At 37.2% G+C, this 24932-nt stretch overlaps 1 protein-coding gene across 2 annotated transcripts in view; it reads left to right on the forward strand.

Moving 5' to 3' along the window:
* TAOK1 (TAO kinase 1) overlaps positions 1 to 24932 on the forward strand; it is a 161541-nt gene that overhangs the window by 85115 nt on the left and 51494 nt on the right. For both annotated transcript variants that reach the window (NM_020791.4, NM_025142.1), the window contains exons 4-12: positions 193 to 294; positions 2184 to 2229; positions 2774 to 2870; positions 4891 to 5004; positions 6720 to 6811; positions 14187 to 14280; positions 16307 to 16388; positions 20083 to 20250; positions 22841 to 23044. In NM_020791.4, coding sequence (NP_065842.1) covers positions 193 to 294; positions 2184 to 2229; positions 2774 to 2870; positions 4891 to 5004; positions 6720 to 6811; positions 14187 to 14280; positions 16307 to 16388; positions 20083 to 20250; positions 22841 to 23044 — 999 coding nt within the window. The remainder of the gene's footprint in view (positions 1 to 192; positions 295 to 2183; positions 2230 to 2773; positions 2871 to 4890; positions 5005 to 6719; positions 6812 to 14186; positions 14281 to 16306; positions 16389 to 20082; positions 20251 to 22840; positions 23045 to 24932) is intronic.

The raw sequence follows: 24932 nt of genomic DNA on the forward strand, positions 1-24932 counted from the left end.
TGCAGTTAGCTGAGATTGTGCCACTGCACTCCAGCCTGGGTGAAAGAGCAAGACCCTCCCAATAAATAAGTAAAACCAAGCAAAGTTGCATGTTCTTGTTAACTCTTCTAAATTTAGTAATTACTTTTATTCTTATATAACTTTCTGAGGAAAAGTCCTGTTCATAATTCTTTACCTTTTTTCTCCCCACAGAAATGGCAGGATATTATTAAGGAAGTCAAGTTTCTACAAAGAATAAAACATCCCAACAGTATAGAATACAAAGGCTGTTATTTACGTGAACACACAGCATGGGTTGGTATTTGTTCTCCCCTTGTTGCAGTTTTAGCTGATTTTGGTTTATAATGAATTAATTCAGAATATCTCATACTGGTTGTGTAAATGCATGCAAAAACACCTGAAATGTTAGTTCGTACTGAAAGAAAACAAGCAATATTTCCTAGAACTTGTAGGCAGTAAGAGATAATAGAACTTTTGCAAGTCTCACTGCAGAGATTTTTCAGAATTCTGTTGACCTTTGTATGTATGATAAAATGTCCTATGACAGTTTTAGTAGTACCATTCAAACATTGTGAAAACAATCATGTTACTTGAGGTTGAAAGTTAGCATATGTTTTCTTGACATAAATGTACTGTAATGCATTTAACCAGAAAGATCATGATGAAATTTGGGTGAATCCTGGTGAAATTTGAGCTGATCACGATTCCTTGGTCGAATAACACTAAAGATAGAGAATTGTTGCACTTTATTATAAGAAGTAGAAATTTATTTTGCCCTTTTGTTACCAGGAATGGCCCCTTATTTTGAATAATTAATAAGTCACAGCTAAGTATCATTTTAGTATACGTACTGTAGATTTAGATTTGTAGTGTTTGGTGCATTTTTATCCAGTTTGTTTTGGTAGTGGTAGTGGTGACTTGTAAAATTGAGGCTATGATTAAAGAAAAAGTAACATTAGATGGGTAACCTCTCTGCCTCTCAGGGTTCTCCAACCATAAAACAAGGATACTAATAGGACCTACCTCATAAGATTATTCTGAGGATTAAATTGGTTACTATATAAAAAATACCTGGCACATAGGAGGTGCTCTGTGTTTGCTTTCAAAGAAACAGTTGTAACCTAAGCTTTGTATAGTTTTTCCTCAGTATCTGTGGGGGATTTGGTTCCAGGACACCCACCCCCAGGATACCAAATCCCTTCTATAAAATGGAGTATCTGCACATAACCTGGGCACATCCACCTATTATTTTTTCAATCATCTGTAGATTAGTTATAATACCACAATGTGAATGCCATGTAAATAGTTGTTACGTTATATTGGCTTTTTGTTTTATTTTTATTGTTATATTGTCATTTTTTAAAATTTTATTTATTTATTTATTTTGAGACAGAGTCTCACTCTGTCGCCCAGGCTGGAGTTCAGTGGCGCAATCACGGCTCACTGCAAGCTCCGCCTCCCAGGTTCATGCCATTCTCCTGCCTAAGCTTCCCGAGTAGCTGGGACTGCAGGCACCCACCACCACACCCAGCTAATTTTTTATATTTTTAGTATAAATGGGGTTTCACCGTGTGTGCCAGGATGGTCTCAATCTCCTAACCTGGTGATCTGCCTGCCTCGGCCTCCCAAAGTGCTGGGATTATAGGCATGAGCCACCGTGCCCAGCCAATTTTTTTATTTTTTCAATTATTTTTGATATATAGTTGGTTGAATCTACAAATCTAGAACCCACAGATGTGAAGGGCTGACTATACATATAATTCTAGAGAACACAGTTTTCTGTCTTCTAACGATGATCAATATTGTTACTATAGGTTTGTAGTAATGGAATAGTACATTTTTAAGAAATAGTGTATTTCTTTATAATTTTAATTAGTAATTATATATGAAATACACAGCTTATAGAAGTGATTATATGTTGGCATTATTAAAAGATTAATGTATCATTGGCTTGACTTTATGCATTTAACAAATCACTGAATACATAACTATTTTTTATTAAAAAATTTTAAAAATATATTATTCTGAGTAATATCTATATAACTATTTTTTTAAGGTAAATGGTGACTAGAATTTTACTTCAAACTATGTTCTTGATCTACTGTGTGAACTTATTTTATCTTAAATTTATATTAAATCTTTATAATAATATATTTTAATGCTTTTATAACTTTTCCATGTAGCTTGTAATGGAATATTGTTTAGGATCTGCTTCGGATTTACTAGAAGGTAAGTTCCCTTTGATTATTTTTTAAAAAGTATTCACAGAATAAAATGATAATTTAGACATTATTTAAATGATATTAATACCAAATAATGTAAAACTTTCCAGAAAGAGCAGAACTCTTAGTCTTGTTCAAATTCTCAGCATGGTATATGCTGTCCTTATTAAATATTATATGTTATACAGTAGCTTAAAATAGTCATGTTTTCTCATTGTGACTTTACAAGTATTTTTCTGAATTCTCTGTCATTCTGCTCCTCTTGTTCAAACCAAAGATAAGTGAGAATAAAGAGAGAACTCTGTTACTATTGTTTTTACATCACCAAATAATTATTTAATATCGTTAGCTAAGAGAAGAATTGGCTATGAACTGTACTTTAACAACTGACACAACTGCATACAAGTTATAAAGTTTAATAATCTTTATCATCTTGGAAAATAAATCTCTTCTTGCTAAGTATCAGTTTTTAAAAATTGCCCCATGTATTAGATATGTATTTTTTTAACAAAAATGTTCTGTGTATTAATTATTTTGAAATAAATTTTAAGTTCACAAAAAGCCATTACAAGAAGTGGAAATAGCAGCAATTACACATGGTGCTCTTCAGGGATTAGCCTACTTACATTCTCATACTATGATTCATAGGTAAGTGCTTTGGAAATTATATATTGATAAGTAAATGGCTTGTTGCATATACCAACTTTAGAATTTATTAACTCTAAAGTTTTTATTGGTTAAAGCCAAATAAAATAATATAAGCTCATATTTTTTTAGATTTTTCATGTCCTAAAATGAACATAGTTGTATACTTTATCTCACTAGGATAATTTTTATCTTTGCCTATATGTGCTGCTGGACCTTGTAAAAATATGTATACTTTCTAGATTTGTGGTAGAAATTTAGCTATAGAATCATTTAATTTGCAAACTGGAATGGGCATTAGAGAATCATACAGTTTTTCTTTCTCATTTTACCGGTAAAATCACTGATGTCTCAATTTGTGACTAATTTCCTAAAGGTTGCAAAGCTGAGTAGATAGAGCTAGAACTAAATCTAGATCTTTTGTCTTCTTGGTAACTGATAATGACATATTTATTCCATTGATTCTATGACATGGACGAATAAAAGCTGCTTAAGGCCAGGCGAGGTGGCTCACACCTGTAATCCCAGCACTTTGAGAGGCCTAGGCAGGTGGATCACTTGAGGTCAGGAGTTCGAGACCAGCCTGGCCAACCAATATGGTAAAACCTCGTCTCCACTGAAAATATGAAAATTAGCTGGGCTTTGTTGTAGGCATCTATAATCCCAGCTACTCGTGAGGCTGAGAGAAGAGAATCACTTGAGCCCGGGAGGCGGAGTTTGCAGTGAGCTGAGATTGTGCCACTGTACACACTGTACACTGTACCACTGTACAGCCTGGGTGACAGAGTGAAACTCTGTCTCAAAAAAAAAAAAAAACAGAAGCTGCTTAAGACTCCTTATGCTTTTGAGCTGTGGTCCTTGATAATCCTTGATAATGGATAGTAACTTTGAAGTTAAAACATTTTATAATGTATTTTTGGCACTGGTATTGGTTCTAGCTGTTTTAGAAGAAAGTTAGCATTTTCTTATTACATATATGAACCAGGCAGTACATTTTAAACTATATAATAGAGTCATTGTGAGTTAATAGGTTATCATTTTTTAACATGAGGATAAGATCTGAGAGATACCCACAAGCTAGTAAATAAGTGAGTTTTAAACTATATAATAGAGTCATTGTGAGTTAATAGGTTATCATTTTTTAACATGAGGATAAGATCTGAGAGATACCCACAAGCTAGTAAATAAGTGAGTGCCATAGTTGGAATTTCAACCTAAGGTTTTCTCAAATTTAAGATACCTCTCCATTTAAAAAAAATCAAATGGAGGAAAAATAGATTCACTTCGTGTTATGCTCTAAAATATTATAGTGAGAATTAACAAGGGCTTGGAAATTCAGCACTTTAATTTCTATTTTAATTTTTGAATGATTAAGTATATATTATAATGCTAATTAGATGGACAGTCTTATTATATAAATACATGTTTTCTTAGTTTATATAGACAGTATGTTTGCTATTTCAGAAAAGTAAATTTGGGATCATTGATACTACATTATCCATATATTTCAGTTTTTATTTTATATTTAGGAAAACTATGCTGACGTTTGGAAATGATACGAATACATCTTTATGTATTTATTTATTTTGAATAAGTCTTTTAAAAAGTTTGGAGAATAAGGTTCTTTTATATTTTCTTTTTTGTTTTTAAGTTAAGTATGGATACTCAGAAATCTTACGTATGATGAAGAGATTGTTTGCTAATTGCAATATATTTTAAAAACCATTGTTTCTACCAATAAACAGAAACTAAAATATAAACTATGCTCCAATGAACTAATTTTTTTTTACTGCTATTTGTCTTCTCTTTTAGAAAATTATTACTATATGTTTATTTGAATTCTGTAGTTTTTTGTTTTCTAATTTGAATATTAATTCTCCTTATCCCAATTGTGAGATTACCCCAGCACTTAATTATTTTGATTTCTCTTTCTCTATCCTATGAATTCTTGTTTTATTTTTATCGTTTTAAACATAATCTATTGAGGGAAAGTTAAGTAATTTTCTGTATTCCCTAAACCTAGAGATATCAAAGCAGGAAATATCCTTCTGACAGAACCAGGCCAGGTGAAACTTGCTGACTTTGGCTCTGCTTCCATGGCATCACCTGCCAATTCCTTTGTGGGAACGCCGTATTGGTAAGAATAGTTAAAGCAGTCAGCAGCTGTTTTAAGTGTCTGTCTATGTTTAACATGAAATACAAATGAAGTGTAAGGTAAAGTACTGTCAGGAATGTTAAACTCGGCCAGGTGCAATGGCTCACACCTGTAATCCCAGAACTTTGGGAGGCCGAGGCAGACAGATCACTTGAGGTCAGGAGTTTGAGACCAGCCTGGCCAACATGGTGAGACCCCATCTCTACCAAAAAATACAAAAATTAGCCAGGCATGGTGGTGCATGCCTGTAGTCCCAGCTACTTGAGAGGCTGAGGTAGGAGAATCACTTGAACCCAGGAGGCAGAGGTTGGAGTGAGCCGAGATTGTGCCACTGTACTCCAGCCTGGGCGACAGAGTGAGACCCTGTCTCTCAAAAAAAAAAAAAGATTAAAATTTTAAAAAAAGAATGTAGGACACTAATTGAAGACATGAATTAGTGATTAGTGCTTCATTTACAAATAAGATGCCCATAAGATTGATAATTGTGTGATTGAGTTGCAAGCTGCCCTAGCCACTTTTATCATGGAGCACCATTTTTATTTGAAAGAAAGACACAAACAAACTATGATTATTCAGTCTTGGTTATTGTGGCAGATAATTTTCTTTAATAAATGACATGAGCTTATAACTTCAAGGAAAACAACGGACAATACTTGTTGCCAATAGTAAAATTCAATCTTTTAAGCAAAAATTAGACTTTTTTTTTTTTTTTGAGACATAGTCTTGCTCTCTCGCCCAGGTTGGAGTGCAGTGGTGTGATCTTGGCTCACTGCAACCTCCGCCTCTTAGGTTCAAGCGATTCTCCTGCCTCAGCCTCCTGAGTAGCTGGGATTACAGACAGCAGCCACCACACCCGGCTAATTTTTGTATTTTTAGTAGAGATGGGGTTTCACCATGTTGCTCAGGCTTCTGGAACTTCTGACCTCGTGATCTGTCCACCTCAGCCTCCCAAAGTGCTGGGATTACAGGCGTGAACCACTGTGCCTGGCCAAAAAATAGACTTTTGTAATGGGATCCTGAGACCAAAATATTTGAGAACCACTGGCCTAAAGTATATGAAATATTATAATCTGCAAACTTGAGCAGATGCAAAATATAATTCTGCCTTGGGAGCCTCTTTCTTTTGGGGTGGCTGTTACATGATAATGATGGATAGTGAAAATAAATCTCACACTATGGGCCAGGTGCGGTGGATCACGCCTGTAATCCCAGCACTTTGGGAGGCCAAGGCGGGCGGATCACCAGGTCAGGAGATCGAGACCATCCTGGCTAACACGGTGAAACTCCATCTCTACTAAAAAATACAAAAAATTAGCCAGGCATGGTGGCGGGCGCCTGTAGTCCCAGCTACTCGGGAGGCTGAGGCAGGAGAATGGCGTGAACCCGGGAGGCAGAGCTTGCAGTGAGCCGAGATTGCGCCACTGCACTCCAGCCTGGGTGACAGAGCGAGACTCTGTCTCAAAAAAATAAATAAATACAATAAATAAATAAATACATAAATCTCACACTATATATGCATTGCTAAATATTTACCTCACAACCTGTAATGCACTTAGTTCCCGTTATAAAAATTCTTATGTCCAGATATATTGGCTAGAATTCAAACCAGTGATCTCCATGTAGATGACTGTTACATTCTCAAAGGATAGAATACTTTTTAAAAAAAATCTTTAATTTAAATTAACGTTTTGTTCTAGGATGGCCCCAGAAGTAATTTTAGCCATGGATGAAGGACAATATGATGGCAAAGTAGATGTGTGGTCTCTTGGAATAACATGTATTGAACTAGGTAAGCATTGTTCTTCATTACTATGGATTAAGTTTTGATCAATGTTTTACCTCAATTTCTGTACCAATCTATAAAAATTATAGATTTTTATCTTAAATGTCACTTTATAAGGGGGGCAATACATTTATTAAGGTTTTCACTTTGGTTATTTGGTAAGTTTTATTTATATTAGGGTTACCTATATTATATTTGCTCTGTTCCATTATATCTAAAATAATTTTCCACTGTGGTTTTAATTAAGTTTGAGGAATCTATGTCTAACATTAATGAGTATTTGTTAAACACCTAGAATATGTTTATGATTACCAGATTTACCAGCTATAGAAGATCTGTAAGCCATTCATAACTAGCTGGGGTAGTTACTACTTTTTTTTTAATTAGGGATGAAATTAGATGTCAGACTGTCATACCTACATACCATTTTGTAACAGTTTGATATATATATATATACATATTTTTTTTTTTTAAGACGGTAAGGCCGACTTCATTCAACAGGGGCCATGATCCATAGGTATATGCATCACTGTAGCAGGGTCTTGCAATGAGAGAGAGAGAGAGATTGGACTGAATTTCCTGTAGCAGTTTGATTTTAAGCACACATTTTGTTAAGTTGTTCATAAATAGAACTGTGCTAAAAAGAGTGGACCATCATAACTTCTGTGAGCCAATAAACTGTCACTGTAATTGAAGATGCTGGCCGTCTTCTTGCTCTGGATTTCCCAATGGAGGTCTACCAGCCCAATAGTCTTTTCCTTTTTATCTTCTTATAAGAGCATTGCATTAAATTTTACTTATTTATTTATTTTTGAGACATGGTCTTGCTCTGTCACCCAGGCTGGAGTACAGTGGTGCAATCTCAGCTCACTCTAACCTCTGCTTCCTGGGATCAAGCAATCCTCCCACCTCAGCCTCCTGCATAGCTGGGACTGCAGGCACACACCAGCACACCAGGCTAATTTTTGTATTTTTAGCAGAGACAGGGTTTCGCCATGATGCCCAGGCTGGTCTTGAACTCCTGGGCTCAAGCTATCCTCCTGCCTCAGCCTCCCGCAGTGGGGGGATTTCAAGCATGAGCCACTGCGCTCATCTAAACCATTCTAAAAGGAGTGACTAAGGATGGAAAATAATACATTAAAAGTAAAATCTGTTGGTAATTTTGATTAATCATTATCTACTCGAGTTTGTCAGTAGTTTTCTAAAATAAGTATAGGGAAAATGAGGTAAAATGAAGGTAAAATCTTGCTTATTATTACACAGTAGATTAAAGTTACGATTTCTATTACAACCAGACTACCTTGCAGTCCAGTTTTTTTTCCCTAAAATGTAATCTTTAAGTATTTTCACTTTTGTTGGAATTCCTCTGTTAACTACTCCCTTCAAGCTCCACATCCTGCTGCTGTTTGTTTTATAGTTTAACAACATCAACAAACAGAGATTTGGAGATTACCATGTCATACTTGGGATTTCTTTGTCTTAATTTGAAGTTTGCAAAACTGTTTCTTCCATTTGAAAGTACCTTTAGGTGTCCTAAACTCTAATCTCTATTCTTTTACCTATGATTCTTTTTCCTACCCATAGGTCCTAATTTAATTTCTTAAGAAGCCTGGGTATACATGTACAGAAGCTGGTTAATGTACTCTTTGCCCATGGGGTCCTTTTACATTCTTAATGCTGGCCGATGCATACATGTGCCCCTCAGTGATAGTGAAATTGCATTAATGGACCTGCTAGATTTCATTGATATATTTTAAGATTTATTTGATTAGAAGGTATTTGTTGGCTCATTGTTGTGCTTAGAACAAAATCTACCTAAACTTTGTAGTTTCCGTGAAATGGCTTCTCCTTTCTAGCTTCTTTTTATTCTACTTCATAAAAGAGTTCCTTCACAATAGAAGTTTTTATACTTAAAGGAACTTTAGATGTGACTGCCTTTAAATAATTTTGCATGGGAGAAATATTTGAAATAATTTCTTAGAATTTTAGGCATTCATTTGGTATCTTCACTTTTGTAATCTTTCATAATAACTTTAAACATTTTACTTACAAATGTTTTGAATATTTTGAAGTGCTAAGTCAGGAACTATATTTTAAGCCTGATTATGGTTCTAGGTGAAAGGTCTAAAGTAGCACAGGCCAGGAAAACTTTCTGCAGTGAAGGAAGTGTTCTGTAGCTATGGCTTTTCAGCTAAAGGAGTGAATTTTCTAAAATTTTATTTAAATACATTTGCATTTAAATAGTCACATGTGCTAGTTAGCTACCTTTTTAGATAACACAGGTCTAGAGGTATGATTTTCGTTTTTTTTCTTTTCTTTCTTTTTTTGCGGGGTGGGAGGGAGACAGAGTCTCGCTCTGTTGTCCAGGCTGGAGTGTAGTGGCACAATCTTGGCTCACTGCAACCTCCGCCTCCTGGGTTCAAGGGATTCTCCTGCCTTAGCCTCCCAAGTAGCTGGGACTATGGGTGCCTGCCACCACGCCCAGCTAATTTTTTTATTTTTAGTAGAGATAGGTTTTCACCATGTTGGCCAGGCTGGTCTCCAACTCCTCACTTCAGGTGATCCACCCACCTCAGCCTCCCAAAGTGCTGGGTTTATAGATGTGAGGTATGATTCTCAATGCAAATCCGATTCAGTCTTGGGACACATATTTATGATAATATCCTTTTCTACTTTGGAAGAGTTAAGGATAGCAAATTAAAGCAAACCATTTTCTTACAGTATAGGTAATAGAAAAAATTTACATCAATTTTACCATTATTGGTCTTGATAAACATAGTTGTGAATAGATATGACTCTTGCTTTAGTGTCACAAAGGTTGAAATTACTTGGTTATGTCTTAATACCAAGAAATCTTATAATACATAATTTTTCATGAGTGGGTTTGCTTACATGTTTCTTTATAGTTAATCTGATGAAAATTCTTAGTTTGTTATTCAAGCTGCATGATTATATAATCTTTATAAAAATATAATTTACCATTTTTAATTACATAAATATATGTTTAGGGTATAAAATTATAGAAATACAAAAGGAGCGAAAAGAAAATAAATTATTCATAGTTCTACTCTCAGCTGGATACAGTGGCTTACATCTGTAATCCTAGCACTTTGGGAGGCCAAGGCGGAAGAATTGCTTAAAGCCAGAAGTTTGAGACCAGCCTGGGCAGCATAGCAAGACCTTGTCTCTACCAAAAACAAGACAAATAAGCTGGGCATGGTAACCCCACACCTGTAGTCCCAGCTACTCGGGAGGCAGAGGTGGACGACCCCCTTTAGCCCAGGAGTTTGAGGCTGCAGTGAGCTATAATTATGCTACTACACTTCAGCCTGAGTGATAGAGTGAGGCCCTTTCTAAACAAACAAATTAATTAAATTAAAATAAAACAGGAAACAAAAGTACACATAGTCATTTTTCCCATTGAGAGGAATAAATGAAAATAGTAAAATTTGAACCCATTTATCTCACCCTTTGGTGATTACTCTTCTGTATAAGTATATATAATTTGAACTCTTTCTCTGGAAATTTTATCACTGGACATTGTTTCTGAGATTTACTTTTTAGACCGTTCAGTTCTTCTATCTCAGTTTCATCTAATTTCCTCTTGAGTTTTGGAGGTATTAATTTTACAGAAGCAATCCAAATTTATGGGTAGAGACGTTTTAGAAACATGCACAAGATAATAAGAAATAGTATCTCTAACTTAAAATAAATTTGGTTTAAAATTAAGTGGTGGCTCATGCCTCTAATTGCAGCACTTTAGTAGGCCAAGGTGGGAAGATCGCTTGAGCCCAGGAGTTGGAGACCAGCCTGGGCAACATGGAGAAACCCCATCTCTACAAAAAATACAAAAAAAATTAATTTGGCATGGTGACATGCACCTGTAGTCCCAGCTGCTTTGGGGGCTGAGGTGAGAGGATCACTTGAGCCCAGGAGGTCAAGGTTGCAGTGAGCTAAGATCGCGCCACTGCACTCCAGCCTGGGTGACAGACCAAGACTTTATCTCAAAAAAAGAAAAAAAAGTTTAGTAGTAGCTTATAAAAATTTGAGATAAAAAATATTTGGCCGAGTGCAGTTCAGTGGCTTATGCCTGTAATCCCAGCACTTTGGGAGGCCAAGGCGGGCAAATCACTTGAGGTCAGGAGTTTTAGACCAGCCTGGCCAACATAGTGAAACCTCATCTATACTAAAACCGCAAAAATTAGCTGGGCGTGGTGGCGCATCCCGGTAATCCCAGCTACTTGGGAGACTGAGGCAGGAGGATCTCTTGAACCGGGGAGGCGGAGGCTGCAGTGAGCCGAGATCGTGCCACTTCACTTTGATCTGGGTGACAGAGTGAGATCTGACTCAAGAAAAAAAAAAAAGTTATTTGAATTTATGAGAGTCTAACACATTGTAAATTTGGTGAATCTCTTCTGTGATTTTTAGGCAAGTTTAATGTTCTTTGATAAAATTGAGAGATTTTTAATTTAATAGTGAATGACAAAATTAAAAAGATATGTTCTAGTTTGATATATTGACGGTATACCATTTAAAAGGCTTGGTGACCAAGAGGTGAAGTGGAATGGGGATTCAGAATTTGAACAGAGAAAGGAGGGCATCTGTTTAAGCAGAGAGAAGATGGTCACAAAGATGGGATATTGGTTACATAGGAGGAATTTATCAGATAGAAAAATATATTAAGGGCCAGTTGCTGTGGCTCATGCCTGTAATCCCAGCACTTTGGGAGGCCAAGGCGGGCAGATCACCTGAGGTCAGGAGTTCAAGACCAGCCTAGTCAACATGGTGAAACCCCGTCTCTACTAAAAATACAAAAATTAGCTGGGCATGGTGGCCCATGCCTGTAGTCCCAGCTCAGGAGGCTGAGGTAGGATAATTGCTTGAACCTGGGAGGCACAGGTTGCAGTGAGCCAAGATTGTGCCATTGCACTCCAGCCTGGGCAACAGAGCGAGACTGTGTCTCCAAAAAAAAAAAAAAAAAAAAAAAAAAAAAGTATTAAGGATAATGAGAGCAGGGTTTCTCTCATTGTCAGAGAAAGCTAGAAATAAACACTATGGTGTTAGATTGGAATTTGAGATATTGTAGTAAATTTATTGTTTTCAAATATAAGTATTCAATATACATCATGTATTTGTACAGATAGGTGTATAAATGTATTATGTACATGTATATATTCCCAACTCTGTTCATTGAGCGTGTCTGAGAGCAGTGACACCCCAGTAGCAGTAAGCACACCTAGCACAACAGCCCCTTGGAGAAATGATTGATCCAGGGTCTGGGCTAGGGAAAGCACAAGATGAAGCTAGGACATCTTAGTGTACCAGAAAGCAAGAAAGTAACCAAATAATAATGGGGCCATGTCCAAAAGACACAAGCCAGTTTAAAAAGGTTTCTACTGTTCAAATATGGGATAATTTGAACATCAAAATAAATGATATAACTTATTAAATAAAATAAAAATCTGTGACTCCATACAATAAATAAATAAAAGAATAAAGTTGAAAGTTTCATGAGAAGCAGAATATTTATGTAGATTCAGAGTACCATCTTACAAAATGCTTATTAATTACAAAGGAGAAAAGAGAAACTTTATCATGAAGAAGACTGGCAGACATGGGCCTTAACCAAGTGATCAAAATGAATACCATCAGTAACAGAACTTCTCAAAATCATGTGCCGCCTCATAGGATATAAATTATAGCATTACCTCTGTGATACTCCTGCCAAAGGTGTTTAGCCTAACTCTAATAATAGGAAATGTCAGAAAATCTCAAACTGAGGGACATTCAGGAGTCCTGTATATCTCAGAATCTTCAGAGGATTGGTTCCAGAACCCCCTCAGATAACAAAATGTGCAGATGCTTAAGTCTCATATAAAACGGTGTAGTTTTTGCATATAACCTATGCATATCCTACCATATACTTTGAATAATCTCTGGATTACTTATAATACCTAATACAATATCAATGCCATGTAAGTAGCTGTCTTAAAAATTTGTATTTTTGGCTGGGCGTAGTGGCTCACACCTGTAATGCCAGCACTTTGGGAGGCCGAGACGGGTAGATCACCTGAGGTTGGGAGTTTGAGACCAGCCTGATCAACATGGAGAAACCCTGTCTCTACTAAACATATAAAATTAGCCAGGCGTGGCAGCGCACTCCTGTAATCCCAGGTACTCGGGAGGCTGAGACAGGAGAGAATCGCTTGAACCCGGGAGGCGGAGGTAGTGGTGAGCCAAGATCGTGCCATTGCACTCCAGGCTGGGCAACAAGAGTGAAACCACATCTCAAAAAATAATAATAATAATAATAATAATAATAATAATTGTTAATTTTTTAATTGTTAAAACAATTTTTTTTCGCCAAATATTTTCAGTCTATGGTTGAAATATTTCGGTTGGTTCAGTCTGTGGATGCAGAACCTACAGATACAGAAAGGCGACCATACTTCAATTTGTCAAAGTCATGACTTCAACTTTTACCTTAAACTAAAACAGAGCAAATTGAACACAAAATAAGCAGAAGGTAGAGGATAATAAAGATCAAAGCAGAGATCAGTTGAATAGAAAACTGAAAAACAGTAGAGAAAATCAGTGCGGATATTAAAAGAGTAATGGGGAAATATGAACAATTTTCTGTCAATAAGTTTGACACCTTGGATAAAATGAACAAATTCCTTGAAGATTAACAATACTCAAAGCTCATTATTGCTACATGGGATATTATTGGGACATCTGAATGAAACTTGAATGTAGTTTGAATGTAGTGTAGTCTTATATCACTATTAAATGACCTGATTTAATGGATGTATTACGATGCTTTAGGAAAATGTTCTTCTTTACAGGAAATATACACTCAAGTATATATTAAGTATGGTGAGGCTTCAGGTCAGCAATTTATTCTCAATTGATTCACTTGAAGAAGTTCTTGGAGGCTGGGTGCAGTGGCTCACACCTGTAATCCCAGCACTCTGGGAGGCTGAGTTGGGAGGATCACTTGAGCTCAAGAGTTCAAGACCATCTTGGGCAACATGGTGAAACCCCATCTCTACAGAAAATACAAAACTTAATTGGGCATGGTGGTGCACACCTGTGGTCCCAGCTACTCGGGAGGCCGAGGTGGGAGGATTGCTTGAGCACAGGAGGTCAAGGCTGTAGTGAGCCGAGATTGTGCCACTGCACTCCAGCCTGGGTGACAGAGCAAGACCCTATCTCAGAAAAAAAATAAAAAAAAAGCTCTTTGAACTCTACTTGCAATTTTTTGTGTAAGTTTAAGATTGTTTCAAAATAAAATCATTTAAAAAAAAAAAAGGAAAAACGTGCCCAGGACTTGAGTACCCCTGGAACCTATTTTAACAGGAATGTTTCCTTTCTTTTACAGCGGAAAGGAAGCCTCCTTTATTTAATATGAATGCAATGAGTGCCTTATATCACATAGCCCAAAATGAATCCCCTACACTACAGTCTAATGAATGGTGAGTATTGTTAATATATATATTGCTCAGTGTTGAATAAATGAAATGCTTTTTCATAATCTGTTATCAAAGTGATTTAATTTCAGTTAGGTAAAATGTATCACCTTATAAGATATTAAAATAGATGTATTTTACCCTTTTAAATATATTTATTCTTTATCATGTTTCCATTTCATGGCATACGTATAACTGAGTTCAGAAAAGGATGGATGATGTCACATGAATGCAAAAAGTATTCATTTTACAAGAATTTGTATTTTACTTTCTCTTTAAATTTAGGAATACCTAATCCTAATTAAATAATAAATAGCATTTAAGCATTAATATTTTATAACTAAAATATATGTATTATTACAACCTATAGTGATATTTGATTGGAGGGATGGTTTATAATTTATATGATATAAAAATATAAGTAAAATGATTTGACTTTATCAAAATTACCAGGTAATTAAAAATATTGGGATCACTCTAATTATCATATTTGTTATTCAGTTTTATCTGATATTCCTTCTAGGACTTCCTTGATTTGTTAAAATTTAGTTCATTCATGTAAAGAGGTTTATGGACAACAGATTGACAATTTTAGAAAACTAGGATTTTTATCAACAGTATAAAACTGTAGTAGAAAATTAATTCCTCAGGTGTACCTAGCATTCGATAAATTCTAGGGGGATATTTAGCATATTTAATAAATATTTTGAAATTCACAGACATATAAATTAGGGGTACTTAATTATTTAAAGAGTACATAATTATGGCACATTCATATAAGTCTTTGCCACTTAAGAATGTGCCATATAACTCTAGTAAACTAATAATGCTAAAACTCTGTGCCAAAAGATTCTTTCTATATAACTCTACTTTGTGTTTAGAATTATATAGAACGAATCTTTTGACACTGAGTTTAGTGTTATGGTATGGTTTAGTACATTTTGTGCTGCTGTAACAGAGTATCAGAGGCTTGGTAATTTATAAAGAACAGAAATTTATTTCTCACTTTCTGGAGGCTGGGAAGTCCAGGACCAAGGCACTGGCAGGTTAGGACCTGGTCCTCCTACTTACAAGATAGTGCCTTTAACTCTGCATCCTTTGGAGGGGAGAAACATTGTGTCCTCACATGGCAGAGAGCAGGAGAGAGAGAACCCTCTCCCACAAGCCCTTTTTATAGCAGAATTAATCCATTCATGACCTGAACAACTCGCATTAGGCCCCACCTCCCAACACTGTTGCACTGGAGATTAAGTTTCAACATCAGTTTTGGAGAAACAAAAACATTGAAACCATAGTTGATACATATAAGTAAAAAATATATTGAACACAGACTGTCTTTACACTGTGTTTGAGACTTGGAGATTTATAAAAGAATTCTTGCCTACAAGGAACTTAAAATCTTATTTGAATATTGGAGACAAACATTGATGGAGTAATTATTTACTGCCTTACTGAACTCTTGTCAATAACACTATATAATAATGTGTTACAGACTTCTAACGTTTTTAAAAATATCTTAATTGGTTTTCTAGGTTTAATGGAAGTCTTATCCATTTGCTCAGGGGCACCAAATACTCAGGTATAAAAACACTCTCTCCAGAGCAGATAGAGTGATATTCTGAAACATGCTATATAGAAGAAGATCCAAGGGGCAAATAAGAAAGAGCTTATTATAAGAAAGGCTTAGCAAAAAGGAAAATAGAAAGGAATGTTATCTTGGGTTTGAAAGAAAAAAAAAAGTAGATAGGCTTCCCTCATTTTGCCTCGATATAGTAATATGAGTTGTGATATTTAAATATGTAGGAGCAGGATTTTAAAGTAATCTGTGTGAATTTATCTTTGGAAAATGGTGAACATTCATTGGTTGCTTTAGATAGATCTTCATAGACTTATATGAAACTGTATAGTCTCTGCTTTTTTTTAATCATTCCCTTTCCATTTCCCCTCCCACCAATAGGCACGTGTCTTGATTTGTGAATGTATTTTTAAAGGAAATAGCAATGTGTTCACTTGATACTTTCCTTTACAATAGGTCTGATTATTTTCGCAACTTTGTAGATTCTTGCCTCCAGAAAATCCCTCAAGATCGACCTACATCAGAGGAACTTTTAAAGGTCAGTTCTATTATAGTTTATTTATTTATTTTATTTTAAGACAAGGCCTCACTTTGTCACCCAGGCTGGAGTGGCAGTGGCACAATCACGTCTCCTGCAGCCTTGACCTCCCAGGCTCAAGCGATCCTCCCACCTCAGCCTCCCAAGTAGCCGGGACTACAGACACATGCCACTGAACCCGGCTAATTTTTGTATTTTTGTTAGAAGTGGGGCTTTGCCACATTGCCCAGGCTGATATCGAACTCCTGGGCTCAAGTGATCCACACCTGCCTCAGCCTCTCAAGGGCTTGGATTACAGGCATGAGCCACCAGTTCCATTATACTTTAAATTTGTTCTTACCCCTAAGAAATGATTGTAAAGAATGTGTTTTATTATTTGATTCTGAATTAGGATTAAGTATACTCTACTAGTTTTTAATAAAATACTAGTTTTTTATGCCGTTGTTTCTGATAACTTTTCTTAGATACTAAATTTTTGTATTTTGTTTTTCAAATTGATTAGCTGCTCTTACCATGTCTAAATAGAATATGTAGTTAAGTATTCAAATAGCTCAATACTTAATATGTGCAAGAATATAATCATGAGTTATAAATTTTAATTCATGTGGAACAATGTCTTATTTCAAAGTTGATAAAACATAGCTTAGCCAGGCGCGGTGGCTCACGCCTGTAATCCCAGCACTTTGGGAGGCTGAGGCAGGCCGATCGCGAAGTCAGGAGTTCAAGACCATCCTGGCCAACATGCTGAAACCCCCGTCTCTACTGAAAATACAAAAATTAGCTGGGCGTGGTGGCGCATGCCTGTAGTCCCAGCTACTCGGGAGGCTGAGGCAGGAGAATCGCTTGAACCTGGGAGGCGGAGGTAGTGGTGAGCCGAGATTGCACCATTGCACTCCAGCCTGGGCAACAAGGGCGAAACCCCTTCTCAAAAAAATAAAAAATAAATAAATATAAGGTTTTATGTTTTTGGATGAAACAATATGGTAAATAGTAGGCTGGGCACGGTGGCCCACGCCTGTAACCCCAGCTCTTTGGGAGGCCGAGGCGGGCGGATCACTTGAGGTCAGCAGTTTGAGACCAGCCTGGCCAAAATGGTGAAACCCTGTCTTTACTAATAATACAAAAATTAGCTGGGTGTGATGGTGGACTCGTGTAGTCCCAAATACTCAGGAGGCGGAGGCACAAAAAGCTTGAACCCCAGGAGGCAGAGGTTGCAATGAGCCAAGATCGTGCCACTGTACTCTAGCCTGGGCGATAGAGTGAGACTGTGTCTCCAAAAAAAAGAAAGAAAGAAGAAGACAATATTGTAAATAGTGGTACACATCAAACTAAAGAAAAAGTAAGAATGGCCGGGCGCGGTGGCTCACTCCTGTAATCACAGCACTTTGGGAGGCCGAGGCGGGTGGATCACCTGAGGTTGGGAGTTCGAGACCAGCCTGAGCAACGTGGAGAAACCCTGTCTCTACTAAAAATACAAAATTAGCCGGACGTGGTGGCGCATGCCTGTAATCCCAGCTACTCAGGAGGCTGACGCAGGAGAATCGCTTGAACCCAGGAGGCAGAGGTTGTGGTGAGCTGAGATCGCACCATTGCACTCCAGCCTGGGCAATAAGAGGAAGCTCCATCTCGAAAAAAAAAAAAAAGGAAGAATGTGACTGGCTTCTTACATTTGCCAAATAGAAGCAAAAGAAGCCTTTCTAACTCAGGTAGTAGTAACCCAGCCCACTAGTATTTGGTGATTAGATCCTAAGTCTGCATATATTAATAGTATTCATTTGCCTGGCCCCTAGTGTATATTATCACAGCCCTATTTGAAATGATAGGAAATAGTTATCATGAGCTTCTTATCTTTTGGACTAATTACATTTCTGTTGCAGTCTATCATAAAGAAAAAAACTAATAAAAAAATTTAATGTATGAAGCTATTTATCATGGAATTAAAAATTAGAAATAGCTGCCCCAAATTAGAGTAATGGTTAAGTGATTTGGGCACAAACATTTGATGAAATATTCTACAGGCATTATGTTTATGAGTTTGAAATAATAATAATTATTTTTTTTTTGTTTTTGAGACAGAGTCTTGCTCTGTCGCACAGGCTGGAGTGCAGTTACATGATCTCAGCTCACTGCAACCTCTGCCTCTGAGGTTCAAGTGATTCTCGTGCCTCAGCCGCCCGAGTAGCTGGGATTACAGGCCTATGCCTCCACGTCCTGCTAATTTTTTATATTTTTAGGGTTTCACTATTGGCTAGGCTGGTCTTGAACTCCTGGCCTCAAGTGATCTGCCTGCCTTGGCCTCCCAAAGTGCTGTGATAACAGGTATAAGCCACTGCGCCCAGCTAAAATAATAATACTTATGACTGTGAAAATTGAATAAAATAGTGTATAGAGGCTGGGCGCAGTGGTGTAATTCCAATGCTTTGGGAGGCCAAGGTGGGAGGGTCACTTGAGGCCAGGAGTTTAACTCTACCCCCCACCCCCCAAAAAATAAAAATTAGCTGGACATGGTGGTGCACACCTGTAGTCCTAGCTGCTTGAGAGGCTGAGGTGGGAGGATTGCTTGAGCCCAGGAGTTTGAGGTTACAGTGGGCTGTGATTCATAGTTACAACTCTTTGCATAAAAAAGAAATAAATTTGAGCTAACAAAGGAGGTAAAAGTTGTCTTAAGAATTCAAGGATAGCTGGGCGCGGTGGCTCACACCTGTAATCCCAGCACTTTGGGAGGGCGAGGTGGGCGGATCACGAGGTCAGGAGATCGAGACCATCCTGGCTAACACGGTGAAACCCTGACTCTACTAAAAATACCAAAAATTAGCCGGGTGTGGTGGCGGGCTCCTCTAGTCCTAGCTACTTGGGAGGCTGAGGCGGGAGAATGGTGTGAACCCGGGAGGCAGAGGTTGCAGTGAGCCGCAATCGCGCCACTGCACTCCAGCCTGGGCAACAGAGGGAGACTCCGTCTCAAAAAAAAAAAAAAAAAAAAAAAGAATTCAAGGATATTTCGTAGAACTCAAGGGATGGCAGAATATGTCTTTCTGGAATTTACATGCTAACTATGTATCTACAAAACATTTTATACATAGAAAATTTATGAAAAGTATATTACAATGTAACTGTGATCATCATAATGGTGGAATTGTTTTTTTCTACTTTTTGTATTTGATAAGGTGAAATTATATTAAATGCTAGTAATAAAAAAGTAATAATTTAATGGCTTTTAGTCTGTGTTAGTATTTTATAAAGAATATTGTTCACGCAGCATATAAAGGAACCCAATATCTAGTGTCTAAATTCATCTTTCATAATTCACCATCATTAAATACATTCCTGTTGAAACAAATATGACTCAGAGCTGAACATGTCTTTTGTGTGAAATCATCAGTTCTTAGAATATGTAAACCTTGAGAGCTCTGATTGGACTTAATTCTTAGTGTTTAGACCCTTCAGTTATTTTAACTCTGCATTTTTAGTTGGCCAACAAAAATATTATGTTCAAAATAAAGAAAAAGAATAGTTATGTATGCACAGAGTATATGTATGTAAATGATAATTTTATAAATAGAAGAAATTTAACAGAATTATATAGCTATAGATTACATGCATTATCTATCATAGGATATTATCTCTAGGGTCTGAGAAGGAGTACCTTGTCACTAATTGAAAAAAAAATCAACCTTTTACCTTCTACCCTATCTAGCACATATTTGTTCTTCGGGAGCGCCCTGAAACCGTGTTAATAGATCTCATTCAGAGGACAAAGGATGCAGTAAGAGAGCTGGACAATCTGCAGTATCGAAAGATGAAGAAACTCCTTTTCCAGGAGGCACATAATGGACCAGCAGTAGAAGCACAGGAAGAAGAAGAGGTAAGAGATAAAAAAATGACTCCAATATTGAATTTTCACTTTTGGTTTCTTTCCTTATGCAGCTTGCCCTGCCATAATTTACCTTATATACCAAGGGTTTCCAGGTTGTATTTTCTCAACACTGGTCCTATAAAATCCCAGTTAGGAATAAAAAAAGGTCCTTTTTTCTTGGAGAAATAAGAAAAGTTAAAAAAAAAGTTTTTTTTAAGTCTTTAATCATGTTAGATTGCATGCTCTAAATCCAACCCCTTTATGGTACACAATGTCATAATGAAGGTTCTGAGAAGTCCTTCGTTAAAGAAACTTGTTCATCTTTGTTTAGTCTAGGCCTTCTCTAATTTCTTGACCACTGAACCTGTTTTTTTATTTTTTAATTTTTTTGTTTATTTTGAGACGGAGTTTTGCTCTTGTTGCCCAGGTTGGAGTGCAATGACATGATCTCGGCTCACTGCAACCTCCACCTCCCTGGTTCAAGCGATTCTCCTGCCTCAGCCTCCCGAGTAGCTGGGATTATAGGCGCGCACCACCACACCTGACTAATTTTTATTTTATTTTATTTTTTGTATTTTTAGTAGAGACGGGGTTTCACCGCATTGGCCAGGCTGGTCTTGAACTCCTGACCTCAGGTGGCCCACCTGCCTCGGCCTCCCAAAGTGCTGGGATTACAGGCATGGGCCACTGTGCCCAGCCTGAGCCCTTTTTTGACTGATTGTCCAGTTCCATATGATGTGCTTTTGGAAGTTCTTGAATTACAGAATGTGAAGGTTGAATGTACTCTCTCAGAAGTCATGAGAAAGTTAGTAGGCATTCGACTGTGTCACCAAAGAAACTTGATTTCATTCCATCTACACCTTTTTTTTTTTTTTTTTTTTTTTTTAAAGACAGGGTCTTGCTCTGTAGCCCAGTTTGGAGTACAGTGGCACGATCTCGGCTCACTGCAATCTCCACCTCCCGGGTTCAAGCAATTCTCCCCCTTCAGCCTCCCGAATAGCTGGGACTACAGGTGCGCCACCACGCCCAACTAATTTTTTGTATGTTTAGTAGAGACCGGTTTCGCTATGTTGGCCAGGCTGTTCTCCATCTCCTGGCCTCAAGTGATTCATCTGCCTCAGCCTCCCAAAGTGCTAGGATTACAGGTGTGAGCCACCGCACCTGGCCTACACTGTTCTAAAATACTCATTTTACAGATACCAAAAGCAAGGCTCAGAATAAATTAAGTTGCTCACTGTAGGTAGAGGAACATGGGTTCAAATTCATACCTCTTTTACTCTCAAGGCCAAGTTCTGTGTTGCCTCTTAGGGAGAATGGAAATACAGATTTGCTATAGAAGTATTACAGAACTTCCTCATGAAGCAATATACATATTAAGTATATTATGTGTAAAGCTATTTTTTCCCTCTAAATATTTTGTTTCTTCTTTGCCCCGTCAGAATTCATAAAATTTTATTCTTTTCTATTGCTTTCCATCGAGAGAGACCACTTTGTATTCTGAAACCGTGCTCAATACTTTCTTTTCTCTTTTTAATGTCACTAAATAAATAATGAACTGTCAAATATAAGACTTTATAAACTTACAATTTTTGGTTTGGGGATTATTTTTAGTTCTTAATGATAGTCACTAGAAAATTGGGATGATTTCAGATATGTGAAATACTTTAATAAAGTGAAATTAATAAAATTCTATGTAGTTAAATTGTTAACAACATCTGTGTTAGGCTGGGGATGTAAGAAAAGTCCCTATCTATATATGTGTCTGTGTTTATTAAATTCTGCATATCTTAAAGAATTCTGGTATGGTAAGACTACTGTAATGTTAGTGCCCAGATACTACAGCTGCCCGTTTACATCAGAAAAACATTCTTATGATTGTGATTTGAAACAATATAATATGTAATTGTTAGTTTACACAAGAAGAGGTAGGAATTAATGTTAAATTATTTGGTGGTAAAAAGATAATCTAGAGTTCCCCAAAAACCTATTGAAATACAAAAAAAAAAAAAAAAGAAAGACAAGAAAGGTAATCTAGAGACTATGTTTTCCAGAAGAAAGAAGAATCTACTTATGAAAGGCTGATTTAATAAAGAAGAATAACAACTACAATGAAGTTTCTAGTACTTTATTTTTTTTTAAATGCTCCTTATGGAGCAGGGCTACGCCGTAGGCACTGTGCCCAGAATAGCCAGTGCTTTTTTTTTTTAAAAGGAGAGATTTGTATTAACCAAGAATTATTGAGAAATGAGCAGGATCTCTATATATACCCCATGAGATGTACTGTAGAAATGGTTATTTTAAAATATCAAGCAATTTAGATAAAATATTGTACTTTGAAAATCACCCAAATCTGATCAGCTGACTTTGTTTTAGACAGTTGGTTGAATTTTTTTGTGATTTACTTGTTGGTCATTTTTGTTTTTCAATAAACTAACAGTTGATAAACTTCCTGGTCTTGGAAAATAAAAGCAATTTCTCATGATAGACCAACTTTCTGAGACTGTCTGCCAAGTGGTATGCTAGGTGCTTATAGTCAAGAATTCAGAAGAGAGAGATATATATTAATATTTGAACTGAACTGAATGTCCTTTTCTCTTAGGAACAAGATCATGGTGTTGGCCGGACAGGAACAGTTAATAGTGTTGGAAGTAATCAATCCATTCCCAGCATGTCCATCAGTGCCAGCAGCCAAAGCAGTAGTGTTAACAGTCTTCCAGATGTCTCAGATGACAAGAGTGAGCTAGACATGATGGAGGGAGACCACACAGTGATGTCTAACAGTTCTGTTATCCATTTAAAACCAGTGAGTATTTGGATTTCAATGAAAGAAATTCAATGTTGGTAAACTGTTTTCTTCATCTGTTAGTTTAAGAGAAGGAAGAAGGAAGATAAGGAAGTTTCCCGAAGTTTGGAACATGGCTGGGCTCAGTGGCTCATGCCTGTAATCCCAGCACTTTGGGAGGCCGAGGCGGGTGGATCACTTGAGGCCAGGAGTTCAAGACCAGCCTGGCCGACATGGTGAAACCCTGTCTCTACTAAAAATACAAAAATTAGCTAGGCATGGTGGCACGTGCCTGTACTCCCATACTCCCACCTACTTGGGAGGTTGAGGTGGGAGAATCGCTTGAACCTGGGAGGTGGAGGTTGCAGTGAGCCAAGATCCCACCACTGCAGTCCAGCCTGGGCGACAGAGTGAGACCCTATCTCAAAAAAAAAAAAAGTTTGGAACATTTTTTAATGGAAAAAGCCTTGTTAACTCCTAACCTGTTATCTCCATTTGGAAAATTCATGTTTTGAGAATACAAAAAGAATGTGGAACTATTTCAAAATATTAGAAGAAAAAGTACAGAAACTTCAAATATATTATTTGACATTATTTACATGAAAAATAAAATACTAAAAAATAGGAAGGATACACATAAAATGATAATGGTTGCCTTTGGGGAGTGAGAAATGGTTGGGATGAGTGATGATCAAAAGTGAATTTTATGTTATCCATAATGTTTATATCTTTTTTTTTTTTTTTTTTTGAAACGGAGTCTCACTCTGTCACCCAGGCTGGAGTGCAGTGGCCACAATCTTGACCCACTGCAACCTCCACCTCTCAGTTTCAAGCGATCCTCCTGCCTCAGCCTCCTGAGTAGCTGGAATTACAGGTGTGTGCCACCCTGCCTGGCTAATTTTTGTATTCTTAGTAGAGACAGGGTTTCACCATGTTGGCCAGGCTAGTCTCAAACTCCTGACCTCAAGTGATCCACCTGCCTCAGCCTCCCAAAGTGCTGGGATTACAGGTGTGAGCCACTGCGCCAAGACGTTTATATCTTTTTTTCTTTCTTTCTTTCTTTCTTTTTTTTTTTTGAGACAGAGTTTTGCTCTTGTTGCCCAGTCTGGAGTGCAGTGGCGCAATCTCGGCTCACTGCAACCTCTGCCTCCTGTGTTCAAGCAATTCTTGTTCCTCAGCCTCCTGAGTAGCTGGGATTACAGGTGTGCACCACTATGCCCAGCTAATTTTTTGTATTTTTAGTAGCAAAGAAGTTTCATCATGTTGGCCAGGCTGGTCTCGAACTCCCAACCTCAGGTGATCCACCTGCATTGGCCTCCCAAAGTACAGGGATTACAGGCGTGAGCCACTGCACCCAGTGTATATCTTAAAAATAAAGCTGAATGTAATTGTAGAAAACTGTAGATTCTGGGTTTAGGAAATGTGGGTGTTTGCTGCATTACTCTTTACCCTTTTGAATATAAAATGTTAAATCTTCTGAAAAATACTGGAAAGTCAGGTAACTCCTTTTAACAATTAACAGGAATGCTAAGGCTGGGAGTAGAGGCCCACCCCTGTAATTCTAGCATTTTGGGAAGCTGAGGCGGGCAGATTGCTTGAGCCTGGAGTTGGAGAACAGCCTGGGCAACATGGTGAAACCCTGTCTCCGCAAAAAAATTTAAAAATTAGCTCGGCATGGTGGTGCATGCTTCTAATCTCAGCTACTCAGGAGGCTAAGGTGGTAGGTTCACTTGAACCCAGGAGGTAGAGGTTTTCAGTGAGCCAAGATCGTACCACTGCACCTCAGCCTGGGTGATAGAGTGAGACTGTATCTCAAAAAACAAACAAACAAAAAATAGGAATGCTTCCTTTTTCACTTCACAGCTTGTGTTATTATCTAAAAGTAGTAGGTACAATGGCTAAAAGATGG

This window comes from Homo sapiens, chromosome 17, assembly GCF_000001405.40.
Source record: "Homo sapiens chromosome 17, GRCh38.p14 Primary Assembly".
Lineage (NCBI taxonomy): Eukaryota > Metazoa > Chordata > Mammalia > Primates > Hominidae > Homo > Homo sapiens.